At 39.7% G+C, this 22,437-nt stretch overlaps 1 protein-coding gene and 2 long non-coding RNA genes across 4 annotated transcripts in view; 2 read left to right on the forward strand and 1 right to left on the reverse strand.

The window, feature by feature from the left end:
* The window catches only part of LOC107984198 (uncharacterized), a 47,905-nt gene extending 30,891 nt beyond the window's left edge, over nt 1–17,014 (forward strand). The window contains exons 4-5 of the long non-coding RNA XR_001747341.2: nt 13,943–14,020; nt 16,789–17,014. This is a non-coding gene — a long non-coding RNA (uncharacterized LOC107984198). The remainder of the gene's footprint in view (nt 1–13,942; nt 14,021–16,788) is intronic.
* Nucleotides 1–22,437, forward strand: part of AKR1C3 (aldo-keto reductase family 1 member C3) — a 58,906-nt gene that overhangs the window by 15,177 nt on the left and 21,292 nt on the right. The gene's annotated exons all lie outside the window — the stretch shown is intronic.
* On the reverse strand, nt 1,597–9,012 carry LOC124902366 (uncharacterized). 2 transcript variants are annotated; one of them, XR_007062040.1, is made up of 3 exons: nt 4,380–4,397; nt 2,744–3,579; nt 1,597–2,113 (listed from the first exon to the last, which is right to left on the reverse strand). It is a non-coding gene; the product is annotated as an uncharacterized LOC124902366 (long non-coding RNA). The 2 variants fall into 2 exon arrangements; XR_007062039.1 differs by having other exon boundaries at nt 2,744–9,012.

The following is a 22,437-nucleotide window of genomic DNA, read 5'->3' on the forward strand; positions in this document are numbered from 1 at the left end:
TGTCATATTCTAAATCCTTTGCTGTCATTTCAGGAATGTTTACAGCATCTTCATCAGAAGTGGAATCTATTTCACCAAACCAGTTTCTTTGCTCATCCATAAAAGTAGCTTCTCATTTGGTAAAATTATATCGTGAGATTGCAACCATTCAGTAATATTCAAGCTCCAATTTTAACTATAGTTCTCTTACTATTTCCACCACATCTGCAGTTATTTTCTCCACTGAAGTCTTGAATTCCTCAAAGTCACCCATGAGGGTACTAGTACAGAAGCAGGCCCATGGACCAAGGGAACACTAGAGAAGTCCCAGAAATAATGCTGCACACCTGCAATCATTCAACGAGTGATGCTGTGATGACTAGCTAGCCATGTGCAGAAGATTGAAACGGGAAAGCCTTCCTTACACTGTATTAAAAAATCAACTCAAAATATATTAAAACCTTAAGTTTTAAGCCTAAAACTATGAAAAACCCTTGAAGATATCCCAGGAAATACCATTCTGAAATAGGCCCTGGCAAAGATTTCATGATGAAGACACCAAAAGCAATTGCAAGAAAAACAGAAAAGACAAGTGGGACCTAATAAACTAAACAGCTTCTACACAGCAAAAGACACTAGCAACAGAATAAACAGACAACCTAAAGAATGGAAGAAAATGCCCACACACTATGCATCTGATGAATGTCCAATATCCAGAATCTACAAGAAACTTAAACAAAATAACAAGCAAAAAGAACAACAACTCCATTAAAAAGTGGGGAAAATACGTGAAGAGATGCTTTTTAAAAGAAGACATACTTGTGGCAAACATATGAAAAATGCTCAACATCACTGATCATTAGAGGAATGTAAATCAAAACCACAATGAGATACCATCTCATACCAGTCAGAATGCCTATTATTATACTATGCATCTGATGAGTTCCAATATCCAGAATCTACAAGAAACCTAAACAAAATAAGCAAAAAAAAAAAATTAAAAAGTGGGGAAAATACATGAACAGATGTTTTTTAAAAGAAGACATACTTGTGGCAAACAAGCATATGAAAAAAATGTTCAACATCACTGATCATTAGAGAAATGTAAATCAAAACCACAATGAGAAACCATCTCATACCAGTCAGAATGGCTATTACTAAAAAGTCAAAAAATAACAGGTGCTGCTAAGGTTCTAATGAAAAGAGAACACTTATACACTGCTGGTGTATTAGTTCAACCATTGTAGAAAGCAGTGTGGTGATTTCTCAAAGAACTTAAAACAAAATTACTATTCAACCGAGCAATCCCATTATTGAGCATATAGCTCAAAGAATATAAATCATTCTATCATAAAGACACGTGCATGCATATGTTCATTGTAACACTGTTCACAATAGCATAGTCATGGAATCAAATTAAATGCCTGTCAACACCAGACTGGATAAAGAAATCTTTACATTCTCACAAAATGTATATACCACATTTTAACCTCCAAGATGATGATATTAGGAGGTTGGTACTTAGGAGTTGATTGTGTTACCGAAAGAGGGTGTCCAGGTTCTTGGCTTCTTGAACAAAGAATTGGACAAAATGCAGAAAAAAATGCAAGGAAAGAATAAAGTAGCAAAAGGAGATATTTATTCGAAATGAAAGTACACTTCACAGTGTGGTAATGGGCATGAGCATAGGGCCCCATTACAGAATTTGTGGGAGTTTAAATACACTCTAGCAGTTTCCATTGGTTACTTGCTGTATGCCCTATGTAAATGAAGAGGACAAAGTAAGGTTACGAAGTCACTTAGTGTACACCCTATGGAAAGGATATTTCCTGTCATAGCTGAAGTGTTAATTGGCCTTATGTTCCCTGCCTCCAGACATTATTTTCTTGACTCATTTCCCCACTGAGAGATGTGATCTTCATAAATCTTTATGGGAGGCAGAGGGACAGCTGGTCTTTCTTCTGTAGCTGCTTCATGCTGGCTTGGGGTGTAGTTTCTACCTATTGAGGATCACAGAACTCTCACTCTGCTCTCTCTAGTGGAGGCAGGGTATCTCCTTGATGGCCAGGGGTGGTGTCTTTACCTGGAATTGGCTGGAGCCTTTGTTGCATGATCATCTGAAGCTAGATGGTCTCTAGGTGAGAGGAAATGAATTGGGTTAAAACATTTATTGGGAACTTCAGGGGTGGATACCTATGCTGTCGAGAATGTTTGTTATAGAGATTTGCAGGAGACAAACAAAATTTTGCTTGTGGTGTGTTCTAGGATCTGTGTGTTTCCTTAAAGTCTTAGAACTAGCGACTCCATTTTGGTTTGGTTTGGTCTGTTGAGGCTTAGTGCATGAGCCCAGTCCAAAACAATGGCCTCCTATCATTTCATTTCAGAAATTTCCCCTTTTTGATCAGGTTCTCACTTAGGTGAGAATGTGACCAAAACTTAGGGCCTTAGTGCCACTCTCAGTTACCATCATTTTGGGTTTCCCATCTCAGCATGTCATTGACAGGTTACGGTGTCCTCATGGTTGCACATTTCTTTCAGCTCTTGTTATTCCAGTCGAAGAGAGACCAAATGACATCCTAGTGATGGTTGCATATAAGCATTTAAAACCTTTGAGAGAATATAGCGCAGCAACGAGACTATTATTATGACTATTGGGAGCATAATACCTAGAGTTTGGAGTATGGTGCTCATCGAAGGTCCCCATAAGCCAAACCTCCTAAAATAGAATCGATTAAAGAATGAGCTAGATAAAGAGTCTACTCACTTAACTTAGCAGTCTCATCTCCTTCACTGAATTTCCATAATCTTCATTTAATGTATTTTTCCGTAGGTCATAAGTGCCAGCTGCAGCATAGATACTTTTCTGTTCATCCAACTCTATTATAACTTTCACAAAAGAATTTAAAGTCTGTTGTTTAACTGTAGGCCTTACAGTAAAATTTGCTATAGAGCATATAATGGGGGTACATTTCTATTCATTGCTTCTCTACTCTAAACCATGGAAAAAGCACTTAACAAATGATGCCCTTCTAAAAGAGTGAAGGCCTCCTGGCAATGTTCTCTTTAACCCATGATGTGGATTAAGAGGAGTGAATCATTGTTTGTTTGTTTGTTTGTTTGTTTTTGAATGATTATTAGGCAACATATGTACCATTAAAGTTTCTTAAGTACATTGGGCCTTTGTCCTTTATCTAACAAAGTATAAGTTTATCCACTTATAAGGCTGGCTGCAAATTCCTTAAACAAAAGTACACCCCATAAGTGCACATAACAGATCCCTTTTCCATTTCTATTGTTCAGAGAGGCATAAGCAAGAAAAAATAATAAAAGATAAGAATTTCATGACAGTAGAAGTGTTAATCTGTTAACTTGGGAAAAGATATTCACATCAAGGATGCCATCTTCATTTTGGGAGAAATTTCCCTGGTTAGTTTTACCTTAAGGGCTCCAATGAGTGTACAATTCCAAGAGTGTGGAGGGAACTTTCTCAGTTGTGAGATTATGTACCCAAAGTTCAAGGTCCCAAAGTTTTGTTGTAGTGCAGATGGCAAGATCTTCTGATGTTCTCAGAAGATCCAAACAATTGAAAGCTTTTTTTACCTGGTGAAAATATACTGTAGCATAATAATCTACTGTTATAACACCAGCCCTCTTGCATGGGAAAGCTTTTATACAACCAGAAAACATGCATTGAAAATAACAATTGAATGACATCCTTTCATAAAATGTCTAAATTGCACACCAGGTAACTGAATGTACCTGAAGCTTTGTATTCCCAGGAATATGGGGCCAAACAATAGTTATAAACTATGTTAGTAATTTGTAAGTTTCCACACCAATGTACTCAAATTGGATTATTTTATCTTTTCCATGGTGAGTCATGGAGTGCAGAACTTTTAATAATAAATGCTTTAAGGACTCAGGAAGGACAATGTGGCCATCCTGGTTCTCCATGAGTCTAAACTTGATTAACATTAGACTTATATCCTCTTGAATACCAGTTGATTCTCCAAATTAGGTGCATTGTACTGATAGCTGATGAGTTACCATGGGTGATTTGACTCAGACCATGGAGTTTATTCAAATTGTATATTTAAATAATTTTAGTATTAGCTTGTTTAACATGAAAATCTGACAAAGTATTTTCTTGGTATTTGATTAATTTTTTTGTTCTACTTGGATTAGTAGCTTTATACAAGAAAATTTGGTTATTTCTATGGTTTATAGTAACATAATAATCATAATTATAGTTGATGGCATATAATTAGACATTTGAATTTTAGAAATTCCATATAATCTTAGAACATACATTAGCATTATTCACAAAATATAACCTAAAGAAGATTGAACATCATTTTGGTGATCCCATGTACCTAAACATGTTAAATAATCTTGTTTACCTCTTTTCTGGATGTTTTCAGGGGCCATCTGATCCATCCAAAAAGCCAGGCATTAGAAAAGACAATTTTGAAACTGAAGTTTGATTTTGGAATTCCAGATTGCCCTAAATTACTTATTTTGCCAAAATGATGACTCAGAAATTTTAAGCAAAAACCCTTTATAACCTTTTACCAAAAAAAAAAAAAAAACACATTTTACTATTCTTACACATCTTGCATATAAAACTGTTTCTAGTAATCTTAATTACATGTTAATGGTGACTCCTAGCAATCTTAATTGTAATGTAAAACCTGCTAAGTTGTGTTCTGATAAGATTAGAATGTTTCCAGCATAGTTAGGGGCATGGCCAACTCCCCATGGAGAGGGGGTGGCAGGGACTCAGGGGGATCTTCAGGCAGGCAGAGGGGAGAAGAGGCAAGAGCACAGGGAATGCTGGGAGCCTCCCAAGAAGGCCTCTTTCATCTCAGAAGCCCCCAGGGCCATCCCGAGTGGGCTGTCCTCAGGCCTTACCTAGCTGGAAAGCAGGCAAGTTAAACAAATTTCAAACACCAAAGAAGCAGTTTATGACCTTAAAGCATTTAGCAAACCTAATATTTGAACATAACTTAGACCACATGTTTACATTTTCAAGACAACTGTATTTTACCAATAATCTTTAAAACTGTTTATTTCCTAAAGATTACTCAAGTCACATGAACTAAATAAAAAGCATTACATTTTTCACTTTTCTGACAAAATATTTGATTTAAGCTCTTATATTATTATTAAACCAATTTAAAACTTTACAGAAGGGACAAATGGTGACTTTTACCTTTCATTTAACCAGTTTGCACAGAGCGAAAGAGACCAGAGACTAACTGGTAAGAAATATTCTTTTGCAAGCATGTCTGGTTTCTGGGTTCTTTCTCCCTGAGTGGCCCTAGGGACCCTGCTCAACTGTATGCAGACAAACATATTGCCATGAATTAAGAATATTCACAAATAGTTTACAAATTTTGAAGAAATTAGGCAGAGAGAGAAATAGAACTCAAATTCTATTTATGAAAGTATATTCAACATGCTTAAACTGTCTAGAAGCCTAAAATCCAAAAAGTTAGTTAGAATTTGATAACTTCTGAATTATACAAAGTTATTCTTTTTCTCACTACTAACATAATCTTTTCCAGCACATTTTGCCTACTGAATTATGTGTTAACTAGAATTCTTATCCTTATAACCTAAAACTTAAGCGAAACCCTAAAAAGCAAGAATTCCTGGCCAGGCATGGTGGCTTATGCCTGTAATTCCAGCACTTTGAGAGGCCAAGACAGGTGGATCACTTGAGGTCAGGTGTTCAAGATGAGCCTGGCCAACATGGTGAAACCCCCGTCTACTAAAAATACAAAAATTAGCCCAGCATGGTGGCAGGCACCTGTAGTTCCAACTGCTTGGGAGGCTGAGGCATGAGTATTGCTTAAACCCAGGAGGCAGAGGTTGTGGTGAGCTGAGATCACACCATTGCACTCCAGCCTGGGCAATAAGAGTGAAACTCTGTCTCAAAAAAAAAAAGGAAAAGAGCCCTTCCGCCTTCTGCGCAGGGCAAATAGTCCCATTCATTCCTAGGCCTTCAGGCAATACCTGGGAGTGACTCCAGCCAATTGCCTTCAATTTTCAAGGAGCTGCTAGAAAGCAGTTGTTGAGAGGCTGAAAATGAAAGAAAGGAAAAAAAGAGAAGACCCAGGTCCCTTAAGCAAACTGGTTGGTGACGGTTAGGTGCCTTCACATGGACACCCTTAGTTTTCACTGGCCATAGCCAGAATTCTGCAGTTTTCTCTGTGTTTAGGCACTGCCCACCAAGGAGAGATTCCCCTGTATGAAACAGAAAGGAAAGGAGAGAAATAAATCCTAATCTTTGGGCCTAGCTTCTGCTGGAATTTCTCCTGGCTGGCTCAGCAAAATATGTTACCAGTGGAGGGTGTCCAGGTTCTCAGCATCTTGAACAAAGAATTCAACAAAATGCACAAAAAAGCAAAGAAATAATGAAGCAACAAAAGTAGATATTTATGGAAAATAAAAGTACACTCCACATTGTGGAAGTGGGCCTGAGCGTAGTGGCTCAAGGGCCTCGTTACAGAATTTGTGGGGGTTTAAATACTCTCTAGGGATTTTCACTGGTTGCCTGGTGTACACACTATGTAAATGAAAAGGGTGAAGTGAGGTTACAAAGTCATTTACCTGGAATATACCTTATGGAGAGGACATTTCCTGTCATAGCTGAAGTGTGAATTGGCCTTGTGTTCCCTGTCTCCAGACCCTATTTTTCTGTCTCAATTGGATCTTGAGTGTGGAACCATAATAAATGGGATTAGTGTCCTTGTTAAAGAGATTCAAGAGAGAGTGCTTGTCCCTTTTGTGACATGAGGATAGAAAGAGGACAGCTATCTATGAGTCAGGAAGCAGGGCCTCACTAGACACTAAATTTGTCTGCACTTGATCTTGAGCTTCTAGCCTCCAGATCTGTGAGCAATCCATGCCTGATATTTATAACTAACCAGTCTGCAGTCTTTTGTTATAGCAGCTGTCATGAACTAAGACAGCCTGTTAGAAGGAGGCTTAGACTTAACCAGTGTTTTGGGGGTATTTTAGGAGCCCTGATAGGTGATCTTCATGTCTGCTTTGCTTCTATGGGGTGGTATTGATGGGCTGAAGTGGATTGTCCCAGCTACTCTGGAAACATTTCTTTTTGTTGCCTCACAATGGATTTCCACTTATTTACAGAGAATTATATGGCTGTATCTTACTGTGCTTTATGTTGCTATAACAAAATAACTGTAACTGGCTGGTTCTTACACAATAGAGGTATATTTGGCTAATGGCTCCAGAGGCTGGAAATTCCAAGGCCATAGTGATCTCATTGGATGAGAGCCTTCCTGCTGTGGTGCTCCATGGTGCAAAGCAGGAGAGTAAGAGATCAGGAGCAAGAGAATAAATAAGCAAGGGAGATCAGTGGCAGAGACTCTCCCTGCTCTCATGGGCTCTGTCTATTCCCTCTCTACATAATGAGAGTAAAATCCAAAGAGCATGAGGACCAAATCAAATATGACAAAGACTCCTTAGAGGCGTGTCAGTACTGGTAACACCTGTTTTTCACAACTCACGGTGACTAAGGCACAGACCACCCCACACAGTGGCACGGATTCTCTTCTTGAACAGACTTTCCCCAGGCTCCTCTGAGTCTCTTTTGAAATAGGCCTCGCCTTGGTCTGTAAGGATCTGAACACACCCAAACATAATTTCTAACAGTTCAAGGCTACATCAATAGATAACCAAGCCCTGTTAAAGAGCCAGCCTGAGAAAACTCACGGCTTCCAAAAGAATTCAGTATTTGTTCCAGCAATGTCTGAAGAAATGCCTGTCTCCCAGTCTCACAGAGGGCAGGAGTCCAACTTCCCTTAGTTCCAGTTAGCAAACCCAGAGGGACTAATCACATGGCCCAAGCAGCCCCTTCCTACTTTTTGTAATTTTCCGCTTGGCTGATTCCACTCAGTCTCTGCTCAGCCTTTCCCTTCTCCCTCATTTTCCCTTTAAAATGCTGAGTCATCTTGCATAGATCATAGTTCAGTTCAGTTCACGCTGGACCTCTTCTCTACTGCGATGTTATGTTACTGATAAAACCTGTCCTCACCATGTTAATCAGTACCCAGCTTTCTTTGTCTTTGACTTTAGCAATAGCAGAATTTGTTTTTTTTCTGGCTCTTATGATTTAATAGCTACAGACAGGTGGGAATGAAGACCAGCCTATGTGACACTTATCTCTGGGTTCTAGTACTATTGAGCAGCAATTTAAGTATTAGGGATTTACAAATGTGTTTAATTTATGGCCAAACCCTGGCATAAGTCAAAATAAATGCTTATATTTGATCACTAAAATACGAGGTAATGATCCACCTCAGGGAGGAGAGTATGTGACTGCAATTAGAATCTTTAAAGCCTTCTGTTTAGAAAGCATGCTTGCTTGAACTTCAAGTTTCTAGGCAAATGTAAGGGTCATTTGTAAAAGCTGAGTTTTTCCTGTTGCCAATAAGGATAGAGACCTTTTCTTCTATGCTCATGTCTTAGACTATTTTCTTAAGAAAAAAATTGTATTTGTAAACTCTTCCTTAGTCCCTTTATTATGCATGTCAGTTTTTTGAAAAGCTGACTAAGCCTCTAGCCAGAATTGCAACCTGCCAGTGTTGTGTTAAGGGTAAGAGAGACAACTCTTTGGAAATGAAAATATCAAGAAAGATAACTTCCTATCTCCATGGGCCCCTTACTCCAAGCTACAACTGCCTGCTTGTCATAAAGAAATGTTATTTTTCCTTGGGATAAAGGTGACTGTCTAGCACAGAAGGATACCCCAATTACCAGGTGAATTTAGGATGGAGAATGTTATAAAAAGAATGTTTGAAAGAATGTTATAAAAAATGGTGGTGTTAGGCCTTATTACATGAAGACCAGTTATCATTTATCTCAAGAAGATGCATGTAAGGATTATATTTCTTGGCTATATAAAGGGGTGAGATTTCTTTCTGTCTTTGTAATCTCTTTAGCATGTTACCTGTGATGCACATTGCAGCCTGGTTTAATGCTTTTTAAATTTTATTTGTTTATTTATTTATTTTCGAGACAGAGTCTTGCTCTTTCTCCCAGGTTAGAGTGTAGTGGCACAATCTTGGCTCACTGCAACCTCCGCCTCCTGAGTTCAAGTGATTCACATGCCTTAGCCTCTCAAGATGCTGGGATTACAGGCAGGCACCACCCCACCCAGCTAATTTTTGTATTCTTAGTAGAGATGTGATTTCACCATGTTGGCCAGGCTGGTCTCGAACCCTTGTCCTCATGATCCGCCTGCCTCAGCCTCCCAAATTGCTGGGATTACAGGTGTGAGCCACTGCACCCAGCCCTAATGCTTTTTTAATAAGAAAATTATTTTCTTTATTTTCTACTTTATAGAGAGTTTTGTAGAATGGCAGGAGATTTCATTTTTAACATTATTCTCCAATATAAAGGAGAACAGACTTGACAGTTGTCCCAAATTAGGTAAAAGATTGAGATTGGAGATCCCCATAGGCCCATAATTTCTACCTTTGGTAACATAATGGAAGACATAGAACAACCCTCCCCTACACAGACTCCTCAGTGGGACAGCCCAATTACATCCACTGTCCTGAGCACATGGACCCCCTTTCTCTCTCAGTCTTACCCACATGACTCAGCGAGCAGCTCCAGCCCAGATCACAGAACCATATGAAGAATTGAAAACCCCACCTTCTCAAGAGGGCCAAGGGCAGAGCATTGACATATTTGATTAGTACCAAGGAGACATGAGAAAAATGAAAAGACTGCCATGACTGTATTTTGGTATTCCAGAGTTTCTGCCTTGCTGCTATCAAGAACATCACCCTCACCTTGGGTGCTTCTTGTTAGTAATTCTTCCTCCTTGACCTCACCCTGTTCTGTGGTTGTAAATCCCCACTTGTCTTGGTTGAAGGCAGAGTTGAGCTTGAAGGAAACCAAAATATTTCACTCTTGGGAAAGGAAGATAAATCTTAGGGCCCCAAAATCACTAAGCTAAAGAAAAAAGTCAAGCTGGGAACTGCTCAGCACAAACTTGCCCCCCATTCTATTCAAAGTCACCCGTCTGCTCACCGAGATAATTACATATTTGATTGCCTCCTTTGCAGAGGCTAACCAGAAACTCAAAAGAATGTAACCATTTGTCTCTTATCTATCTATGACCTGGAAGCCCCCTCCCCACTTCAAGTTGTCCCACCTTTCCGGACTGAACCAATGTTCATCATACATGTGTTGATTGATGTCTCATGTCTCCCTAAAATGTATGATACCAAGCTGTGCCCCGACCACGTTGGACACATATCCTCAGGACCTCCTGAGGGTGTGTCATGGTCATTTGTCCTCAATATTGGCAAAATAAACTCTCTATATTAACTGAGACCTCTCTCAGATTTTGGGGGTCCATACTCTAAAAGAAAGTATTTTGACAAATTTCAAGATGGCTATTCAGAAGGGCAGGAAATACAAGAACAGCTGAAAACTGTCTGTTATGAGAGAGGCTTGCACCTGTAGAGAAACTCTGCTTGGATGCAGCCAGGCTTTCTCTGAGGCTTTCCCTTTGACTTAGGAAAGATTAACTGACGGTCTGACATCTTTAAAGGTCTGAAGAAAACATTTTCCATCTCTTCTCTTAAGTGCTGCTATCTGTGAGGTTTCATTGACATAGTGTGCAAGAAGATTAAATTTTGGTACCCGAAACTCTTTTAGCCAAAGAGAAAATTCTAGCCAGGAACTGGGACACAAAAACCTGCCTCCCTCTTTTGGTTCCTAAATAAGATGGCTACAAGATGAAAGGCTACCCACCTCCCCCATATTTTGTCCACAAGGAAATTCCTGGTGAGCTGTTGAAACTTCACCATGGTGATACAAATCCATAGCTTATCTTTACAGTTGCGGTCACCCCACAGACACAAATGCATTTCCGATTGTTCACCTACCCCATTTTGTCTGTGTTATCTTATGTAAAATGCAGAGTCCCCATATTTTTCCTCTGCCCCCTGTTGTTGATGTGAGAACTGTGTGCTTCTCAATATCCCGCCCTTTCCCCTTTAAATTTGGAGCCCTCAAAATCAGAGAAAGGCATAGACCTGTCTCCTGGGTGCATCCTCAACTTTGGCAAATAAATCTCCTAAAATTACTGAGACCTGTCTCATCATTCTTTGGTTGACAATAACAAGACCTCTGCTAGCCAGGCCTCCTCTTTTCTCCCTCCCATAACCCATGTTGCCACTACAATCTGTTTTGCCAAGATTTAAGTCCCTCTCTCATTTTTTTTTTATAAACTTAGATGGTTTACACGTTGCTCTGTGGTTCTCCCCTACACATGGTCATAAGTTTGTGTGCCTTTTCTCTTTCTAATCTGCCTTTTGTTAGGTGAATTTTTAGTGAACTTAAGAAGGTAGAGAAAATTTTTTCCCTTGGCCCCCACCAGCATGATCGCTCTCCCACAGAAAGACCCAAATTAAGTGGCCCTACATCTAACGCCATGGCCCCCCTTGAGTGAAGTATTTCTCACTGTGTTTTAGGAAATGTCATAAATAAGTTTTTTTTAACACCCTGTCGGACCATAAAGGATTGATCTACTGGTAGACACTTATTCTCAATCAGAGCTTTTCCCAAGGGAATTTGTCATGTGGAAAAAAGCCATTTGTCAAGGAATGGCCAGGCATTGTGGCTCATGCCTGTAATCCCAGCACTTTGGGAGGCTGAGGTGGGCGAATCACCTGAGGTTGGGAGTTTGAGACCAGCCTGACCAACGTGAAGAAACCCTGTCTCTACTAAAAATACAAAATTAGCCGGGCATGGTGGTGCATGCCTCCTATCCCACCTACTCGGGAGGCTGAGGCAGGAGAATCACTTGAACCCGGGAGGCAGAGGTTGCAGTGAGCCAAGATCATGCCATTGCACTCTAGCCTGGGCAATAAGAGCAAAACTCCATCTCAAAAAAAAAAAAGTCAAGGAATATGGGAGTCACGGGGGCTCGGATGTATTACTAGGGGGGCTCTAGAGAGATGGAGGGGCACAGGTTGCTGGGGCTAAGATATCCTGAGCTGCACTGGTTTCTGAGCTATTCAAATCCCAGTTGTTTCACCCTTTATTTTTGGAATCACCCAGGATCCTTTTAGCAACCACCTTTCACTTGCATTTAAGCCTGTTTTTACGGTTGCAAACACACAAAACACACTTAAATAAGATGATGTAACAGTAGTTCTCAAATCATAGCAACAACTCTAGTAGTTGTGTCCTAGGAAATTAAAATTCTGTGTTACCTACTTGCTATGGTTTGATGTGTTCTCCAAAGTCCATGTGTTGGAAACTTAATCCTCAATGCAATAGTGTTGAGATGTGGGACCTTTAAGTGATAATTAGATCATGAGGGATTTGCCTCATTCATTAATTATTGCTATTATCTCAGGTGAGTTAGTTATCGGAGATTGAAATCCTGATAAAAAGTTGAGTTTGTTCTCTCTGTCTCTCTCTCTCTCTCTCCACTCTAGAATTGTAAAAAACTAATCTCTATTCTGCATAAATTACCCAGTCTCAGGTATTCCATTATATTAGCAGGAAATGGACTAAGACACTACTTTATAAAATTTTGCAGTTTCCAATGTTCAGCTTTTCCTTGATCCGGCTTCATCTACATTTTTCTTTGCTTGTTACTGATGGTGAAATTTTCCTGTTGTCTTTCATTTATGGCTTACACTATCACATGCTCTGTACTAATTCATGCCTTCTATTTCCTTCTGTTGTTTTTGGAAGCATCTCTTTTCATGTGTCTCATTTTTAGGCTCTATAAGACATATCGTAAAACTCACTTGATTCCTCACTGTCATGCATAGAGCTCTGTCTGGGGGAAGTTCTCCCTCCTGACATGCTACGCCATTACCCAGCCAAAGGAGCACTGCCTTTGCTTTATTTGCACATTCCTGTTTTAAACAGTCATGCCCAGAATTATGTGGCTACTTGGCGCACATAATGAAAAATCTGGTTTTTGAAGTCATGCATAAAATTAAAATATCTTTGTATTTGGTTGTCTCACATCCACTGTGGTCTCTGTTTCAGCACCTCATTGGGATTATTGAACTCATTAAATTCTTTACATGAACTTGAATTGTTCATTGAAATCTCTAGCCATTTCCCTGGTTAAACAGGATAATCTTTTTTTTTCACTAAAGAACATTCGTGGTGGTTTAGTGATGAGGTTAATATTCCCCTCTTGTCCACCTCCACATTGGAAAAACCACGTTGGACTGAGTTTTGAGGAGCAAAGAACTAATCACTTGACCAAAGGGGCCCTGTATCCCCACAAGCCCTGGGTATTTTTCTCTCATAGAGAGAAGAGGGTCTGTATGGATACCTGAAAATGTGATTTTATATATTCTTGGCATCCAGGGGAGAAAAATCAAAAAGCAAGGAAGCTACAGTTATCTCCCCAGAAATTAATGGGTCATGTCAAGACTATAGGTTTTCATTTCCTTCTGTTGCTTGTTAGAATGATGTTCTTGTGGGAAACTGGAGTTCCACAATTCCCATTTCTTCTTGACTCCCTACCCTAGCTAAGTACTTTATTCTTAAGAGACTGGCACCAAGTCACTGTGTCCTATTATGGAAATGCAAGGTTTGTCTTTTGAATGGATTTCTGAAGACAATGGGTAAAACATTAAAGTTGATTTAATTGCTTGCCTGTCTGGGCAAGGAGTTTGGTTTTTGCTGAACATTCCCCTTAGTAAAATGGCAGGATGGTTTGCTTGCCATTGAAACTAACCAAACATTTAATCCTTTTCCCTTTAGAGAAAAAAGAAAAAAAAAGGTGCAGCTCACTGCCAGTGCCCATTTAGTTTTACATTAACATGTTCCTTGAGGTTGAAGCAAATCTGACCGATTTTCAATGTAAAAATAACATATAAAAACTGTTCTCGGAGTTATTTCTAAACAGAACTAAGATCAGAATTCTTTGAATCATCAGAATCATCTCTTTTGAAAAATCGATTCATCAAATGAATCTTCAGCCAACAACTGTTCAAGAAGGATGCAAATATCACAGGTAAGAATCCTACATTTTCTAAGATGTGACATTGTCAGTGAGCTGAAAATATGATTACTATATTTTGTAAATGGAAATACCATTACAAAAACAGAAAGCTATAAAAGGAATGATGTCTTTTGTTTCCAAAGTCAACATACTAGAGTGATTCAAAAATAATAATAAGTCAGGTGCGGTGGCTCATGCCTTTAATCCTAACATTTTGGGCGGCTGATGCGGGTGGATCACTTGAGGTTGGGAGTTCGAGACCAGCCTGGCCAACCTCGTCTGGCCAGTGAATGGTGGTGAAACCTCGTCTCTACTGAAAATACAAAAATTAGCCAGGTATGGTGGCATGTGCCTGTAGTCCCCGCTACTCGGGAGGCTGAGGCAGGTAGAATCACTTGAACCTGGGAGGCGGACGTTGCAGTGAACTGATATTGCACCACTGCACTCCAGCCTGGTCAACAGAGCAAGAATCTGTCTCAAATAATAATAACCATAATCATAATCATAAAAGCGAGATAGTTTGTGGCAAAGTTTTCTCAGGGTAAACTGCCACCACGAGTGCCACTGGTGAGAATTCTTGGGTCAAATGAAAAAAGGGTTAAATGCAAGGCAGGTCATCAGCAAAGTACAGTACCTGTTCGTGAGTTGATTTTCTCTCCAGTCCGACATATTCCTCAATATGATTTTTAAATAGAATAGGGATCTCACTGGAGGACATGCAAGTAATTTAAATTTGTTCATACATATAGGCAGGGCCCAGAGAGATTAAGAGCACATGTGGTTTAAATGCTGTTATCTCTGCTTTGTGAATAGCATGGTAAGTTGAAAATATTTGCCATTGAAGCAAGGGACTATTTGCCTCAAGGTTAAATAAGACAAGAAGAGCTTCAGATGCCTGGTCTGCAGTGATGAGTAGAACAGGCCCTTCTGCTGTTGGGTGCAGACATTTCTCCTCCACCTTCTTTAAGGCATTAACACTCACTAGACGTGTTCATGTAAAGGTGTCTCGATAGTGTTAACTCCAGTCTCCTTGTGAGTCTTGCTGACTTACCATGACTAGAGGACTTGGATGGCATGCTAGACCTTCCAGTAGCCAGCCTGGATCATTGTACTTGTTCTGAGTTGCACAGGTGTTTTACTTTTGTGCCAGGTGGTTGGAAATAGGCACATAAAATGGAGCTATTTGTTTTAAAATCATTTCATTTATTGATGCTCTTGTCCAGTGTGTCTGAGGGTGGTATCTGCCTTCCCAGGAGGCAGGAGTGGGGCCCCCAACTGAGGAGCTCATGGTGCACTCTTAGCTTTTAAGACTTGTCATACAGGGTGCAATAAAACAAAATGTGCCACTCAAAATGTACTTTTTTGGTATATTTTGATCTTGCTGTTAAGAGGGGCTACAATTCAGAGAGGCTGCAGACACAGAAATAGCCCTGAAAAGCTTTCTTCTCTGGCAGAGATTTGCAAGTGCTGAGGAAATACACGTTAGTGAAGTGAACAGAGGAGAAAAGCATTTCTCTGAGGCACACCCCACCCCCACCTTATCTGCCTAATTGGATCAAGGAAAGATTAACTCCCAGGAAAAACAGACTGAGATCCTAATGCTTTAAAGGTCTGACTGAGAAACTTCTCCATAGGCCACTGTCTATCTTCCTGAGGGCAGCTTGGGGAGCCCCTGAGAGACTCACATCTGTGTGGGGACAGCCTTGGCTCACCAAGCATACCTCTCTCTCTCCCCCATTACCTGAGACCCCACCTCCCCGAGAGACCCCAAGCCCCTATTCTCTCTGTAGCCTCAGGATGTGAGGAAATCTTCAATCATCTGGTCCTGCTTGGAGTCTCATATTTGCTGCTCCATGTACATGTATATGAATTTATATGCATTTTATGTTAATTATTCCATTGTCAGTGTATCTTATGTAATCAAGTCACCAAAACTTCAGAAGGGCGAGGAAAGAAAATTTTCTTTGCACCTGCAGGGGTATCTGCATGGTATGCAAAGCAGAAAAGTTAAAGCGAAATAATGAATCAGAGTCAGGGAATGAGCAAACATGACCTGGACAATGGCAATGAAGGAATTGTGCACGGCCTCTATACTGGTATTTACATAACTGAGGTCCATCAGTGCCAAGATCTTTGTCTTTTTTCTTTCCTTCCCTCTCACTGCCCATGTCCGGACATAGGCCGGTAAGAGCGTCTGGTTAAGATGTGGAGTAAGAACATCTTAAGATGTGGAGATGGGAAACACTGTATGGGAATGTGAATGAGTGTGTGAAAATGTTAAAAATCGTGTTGAGAAAAAAATCTTTCCTTGTGCAAGTATACTTACTTGCATAATTATCACCTTTAGTTTTGTAATTATAAGATTTCTCAGAGCCTGGCTGGGTGCGGTAGCTAATGTCTGTAATCCCAGCATGTTGGAAGGCTAAGGCAAGTGGATTGCTTGAGGCCAGGAGTTCATGACCAGCCTGGCCAACATGGTGAAACCCCATGTTTAATAAAAATACAAAAATTAGCTGGGCATGGTGGCATGCACCTCTAGTCCCAGCTACTCATGAGGCTGAGGCAGAAGAATTGTTTGAACCCAGGAGGTGCAGGTTGCAGTAAGCTGAGATTGTACCACTGCACCACTCCAGCCTGGGTGACAGACTGAGACTCCGTCTCAAACAAACAAACAAACAAACAAACAAAGATTTCACAGAGCCTGCCATTGAATGTGTAGTGTTTAGGAAGGATGGAAGGATCTTAAGGAAGCCACTATCTGTGTCTCACTTTCTTCGTAGTGTTAGATGAACTTTCTGGTTGACACCTGACAGGAAGAGCCTCTGTATTGGACCACCATGTTTGTGCTCACTGTGTAGTAACAAACCAACACACCAAAATAGCGGGAGTTGCCACTGACAAAGAGTTGAATGATCAAATGACGGCCAAAGGAGGAGGTAGGACGCAACCTCAAATTCACTGCCCCAAGGAGTTTTAGAATGGGGTTTTCAAGGGACTTTTGGCAGATAGAGGGCTGAGGAGTGGGGGGGTTACTGATTAGTTAGGGTGTGGGGGATGAAAACATAAAGATATAGTAAGTGCATTCTAGGATCAAATCAGTTCCTTAAAGTGGGTATTTACACAGGATGGTATCAGTGGATCTGTTGGAATGCAGGATCTGGAAAATATGGAAAATTTGAAACTTCTTCACATTACAGAAGTTATCTATAGAAGTTAGGGCCTTGTAATACAGGCTATAAGCTATAAGCAGCTATAAGAAAGTGGCCTGTGGGGCATAGCTGGTTAATGTTTAACTACCCTTCAACTCAAAAGCTTTGATTTTGCTAAAAACCTAGACATTCATTCAGTTTTATTGATTTTATAAGGATGGTGTCACCTTCATTAAACACATTTGTTCTGAGGGACAGTTGGGCCGCAGTGGCCATTGACTTATGTGGCCAAAATGCTTGCATTGACCAAAAACTTGCTTTCACATGAATAAAAATATTCCTCCAAAATAAGCACTTGTTTTGAGAGTCTCTGAAAAACAATCATTGTATATAAGAAATATATTTTGTGGTTAATGACATAATTTTACTTTACTCAGGGAAGGCTGTTTCTCTCAGTACATCGTTCAACTTTGGCACCAGCCAACATTCTCAGGACTCCCATAAAGCCAACCAACTAAGCAAAATCCTGAATATTGTTCACTAATCCTGATTCTGCCTCCTTTCTAGGTGTGAATTCAAAGGCAGCATTACTCCCCATTTTCTTCCCTCTCCTGTGTCTCTCCCCTGAGGCTTCTCTGCAAAACATCACTGCCCAGCTTAGCATCTGTCCTGGGCACTGGTAATAATGTGGTACCATTCATCCTCTCCTAGCATTTGATCACTCATCAGGAGCCCTCAGCCCCATGGGGAAGAGGACAGAAGAAGAAACCAGTGAGCTCCTGATTTCTTGCTTCTTTCTGTCAGTGTTTTTTCTAATATCTCCAAGTTGCAAGAGAGAAGTAGAAGCTACATGGCATTCACCCTAAACCTACTTGCATGATGCATTCTGTTTGTCTTAGAAGGATCATTGTACTTTATCATAAGAGGAAAAAACATTCTCCATTCTAGCAATTCTCTGGATGATTCTGCCTTAAATAGAGGGAGTTTTACTGTCTAGATTGAGCTTCTGCTCCTTGGTCCACTCCTCTTGAAACTTTACTGAGGTTGTTTATTAAATCTAGGAGTCTTTTTGAGGAACCTTTAGGGTTTTCTAGGTATATAATCCTGTCATCAGCAAACAAAAATAATCTGACTTTTATTTTTGCTACTTAAATGCCTTTTATTTATTTTCTTTACCTGATTGCCATGAATAGTACTTCCAATTTTGTGTTGAATAGGAGTGGTGGAGTGGACATCCTTGTCTTGTTCCAGTTCTTAGGGGAAAGGTTTTCAAGTTTTCTCCATGCAATATGACATTGGCTGTTAATTTGTCCTAGATGTCCCTTATTATTTTGAGTCATGTTCCCTTGATGTCTAGTTTACTGAGAGTTTTTATCATAAAGGTTTTATGTTGCATTTTATCAAAACTCGGCATCTGTTGGGATGATCATTTTTTTTTTGCTTTTAAGTATGTTTATATGGTGAATCGTGGTGTAATCATGTTCAGTGATTTGTGTATGTTTAATCATCCTTGCATCCCTGGAATGAAATCCATTTGGTCATGACGAATTATCTTTTTGATGTGCTATTGGATTTAGTTTGCTAGTATTTTGTTAAGAATATTTGTGACCATGTTTTCCAAGGATATGTTCCTCTAGTTTTATTTTTCTGTTCTGTTTTTGCCTGATTTTGGTATCAGGATGATACTAGTTTAGTAGAACAATTAGGGAGGAATGTCTCCACATTTTTTTAAAAGAGATTCCATAAAATTGGTACCAGCTCTTCTTTCCATGTGTGGCAGAATTGAGTTGTGAATCTCTCTGGTCCCACGCTATTTTTCACTAGAAAATTTTTAATTACTGATTTGATTTAATTACAGAGTATTTTTCATTACTCATTATGGGTCTGCTCTGGATTTCTATTTCTTCCTGATTCAATGTTGGGAGGTTGTGTGTTTCCAGGAATTTATCTATTTTCTCTATTTTTTTTTATTATTATACACTTTAAGTTTTAGGGTACATGTGCACAACGTGCAGGTTTGTTACATATGTATACATGTGCCATGTTGGTGTGCTGCACCCATTAACTTGTCATTTAGCATTAGATATATCTCCTAATGCTATCCCTCCCGACTCCCCCCACCCCACAACAGTCCCCCAGAGTGTGATGTTCCCCTTCCTGTGTCCATGTGTTCTCATTGTTCAATTCCCACCTATGAGTGAGAACATGCGGTGTTTGGTTTTTTGTCCTTGTGATAGTTGGCTGAGAATGATGGTTTCCAGTTTCATCCATGTCCCTAAAAAGGGCATGAACTCATCATTTTTTATGGCTGCATAGTATTCCATGGTGTATAGGTGCCACATTTTCTTAATCCAGTCTATCGTTGTTGGACATTTGGGTTGGTTCCAAGTCTTTGCTATTGTGAATAGTGCCGCTATAAACATACGTGTGCATGTGTCTTTATAGCAGCATGATTTATAATCCTTTGGGTATATACCCAGTAATGGGATGGCTGGGTCAAATGGTATTTCTAGTTCTAGATCCCTGAGCAATCGCCACACTGACTTCCACAATGGTTGAACTAGTTTACAGTCCCACCAACAGTGTAAAAGTGTTCCTATTTCTCCACATCCTCTCCAGCACCTGTTGTTTCCTGACTGTTTAATGATCACCATTCAAACTGGTGTGAGATGGTATCTCATTGTGGTTTTGATTTGTATTTCTCTGATGGCCAGTGATGATGAGCATTTTTTCATGTATTTTTTGGGTGCATAAATGTCTTCTTTTGAGAAGTGTCTGTTCATATACTTTGCCCACTTTTTGATGGGGTTGTTTGTTTTTTCCCTGTAAATTTGTTTGAGTTCATTGTAGATTCTGGATATTAGCCCTTTGTCAGATAAGTAGGCTGCAAAAATTTTCTCCCATTCTGTAGGTTGCCTGTTCACTCTGATGGTAATTTCTTTTGCTATCAGAAGCTCTTTAGTTTAATTAGGTCCCATTTGTCAATTTTGGCTTCTGTTGCCATTGCTTTTGGTGTTTTAGACATGAAGTCCTTGCCCAAGCCTATGTCCTGAATGGTATTGCCTAGGTTTTCTTCTAGGGTTTTTATGGCTTTAGGTCTACATGTAAGTCTTTAATCCATCTTGAATTGATTTTTGTATAAGGTGTAAGGAATGGATCCAGTTTCAGCTTTCTACATGTGGCTAGCCAGTTTTCCCAGCACCATTTATTAAATAGGGAATCCTTTCCCCATTGCTTGTTTTTCTCAGGTTTGTCAAAGATCAGATAGTTGTAGATATGCGGCATTATTTCTGAGGGCTCTGTTCTGTTCCATTGGTCTATATCTCTGTTTTGGTACCAGTACCATACTGTTTTGGTTACTGTAGCCTTGTAGTATAGTTTGAAGTCAGGTAGCATGATGCCTCCGGCTTTGTTCTTTTGGCTTAGGATTGACTTGGTGAGGCGGGCTCTTTTTGGGTTCCATATGAACTTTAAAGTAGTTTTTTCCAATTCTGTGAAGAAAGTAATTGGTAGCTTGATGGGGATGGCATTGAATCTATAAATTACCTTGGGCAGTATGGCCATTTTCATGATATTGATTCTTCCTACCCATGAGCATGGAATATTCTTCCATTTCTTTGTATCCTCTTTTATTTCATTGAGTAGTGGTTTGTAGTTCTCCTTGAAGAGGTCCTTCACATCCCTTGTAAGTTGGATTCCTAGGTATTTTATTCTCTTTGAAGCAATTATGAATAGGAGTTCATTCATGATTTGGCTCTCTGTTTGTCTTTTATTGGTGTATAAGAATGCTTGTGATTTTTGCACATTGATTTTGTATCCTGAGACTTTGCTGAAGTTGCTTATCAGCTTGAGGAGATTTTGGGCTGAGACAATGGGGTTTTCTAGATACACAATCATGTCATCTGCAAACAGGGACAATTTGACTTCTTCTTTTCCTAATTGAATACCCTTTATTTCCTTCTCCTGCCTGATTGCCCTGGCCAGAACTTCCAACACTGTTGAATAGGAGTGGTGAGAGAAGGCATCCCTGTCTTGTGCCAGTTTTCAAAGGGAATGCTTCCAGTTTTTGCCCATTCAGTATGATATTAGCTGTGGGTTTGTCATAGATAGCTCTTATTATTTTGAGATATGTGCCATCAATACCTAATTTATTGAGAGTTTTTAGCATGAAGCGTTGTTGAATTTTGTCAAAGGCCTTTTCTGCATCTATTGAGATAATCATGTGGTTTTTGTCTTTGGTTCTGTTTATATGCTGGATTACATTTATTGATTTGCATATGTTGAACCAACCTTGCATCCCAGGGATGAAGCCCACTTGATTATGGTGGATAAGCTTTTTGATGTGCTGCTGGATTCGGTTTGCCAGTATTTTATTGAGGATTTTTGCATCGATTTCATCAGGGACATTGGTCTAAAATTCTCTTTTTTTGTTGTGTCTCTGCCAGGCTTTGGTATCAGGATGACGCTGGCCTCATTAAATGAGTTAGGGAGGATTCCCTCTTTTTCTATTGATTGGAATAGTTTCAGAAGGAACGGTACCAGCTCTTCTTTGTACCTGTGGTAGAATTCAGCTGTGAATCCATCTGGTCCTGGACTTTTTTTGGTTGGTAAGCTATTGATTATTGCCTCAACTTCAGAGCCTGTTATTGGTCTATTCAGAGATTCAACTTCTTCCTGGTTTAGTCTTGGGAGGATGTATGTGTCAAGGAGTTTATCCATTTCTTCTAGATTTTCTAGTTTATTTGCATAGAGGTGTTTACAGTATTCTCTGATGGTAGTTTGTATTTCTGAGGGATCGGTGGTGATATCCCCTTTATCATTTTTTATTGCGTCTATTTGATTCTTCTCTCTTTTCTTTTTTATTAGTCTTGCTAGCAGTCTATCAATTTTGTTGATCTTTTCAAAAAACCAGCTCCTGGTTTCATTAATTTTTTGAAGGGTTTTTTGTGTCTCTATTTCCTTCAGTTCTGCTCTGATCTTAGTTATTTCTTGCCTTCTGCTAGCTTTTGAATATGTTTGCTCTTGCTTTTCTAGCTCTTTTAATTGTGATGTTAGGGTGTCAGTTTTACATCTTTCCTGCTTTGTCTTGTGGGCATTTAGTGCTATAAATTTCCCTCTACACATTGCTTTGAATGTGTCCCAGAGATTCTGGTATGTTGTGTCTTTGTTCTCATTGGTTTCAAAGAACATCTTTATTTCTGCCTTCATTTTGTTATGTACCCAGTAGTCATTCAGGAGCAGGTTGTTCAGTTTCCATGTAGTTGAGCAGTTTTGAGTGAG

This window comes from Homo sapiens, chromosome 10, assembly GCF_000001405.40.
Source record: "Homo sapiens chromosome 10, GRCh38.p14 Primary Assembly".
NCBI classification, from domain to species: domain Eukaryota; kingdom Metazoa; phylum Chordata; class Mammalia; order Primates; family Hominidae; genus Homo; species Homo sapiens.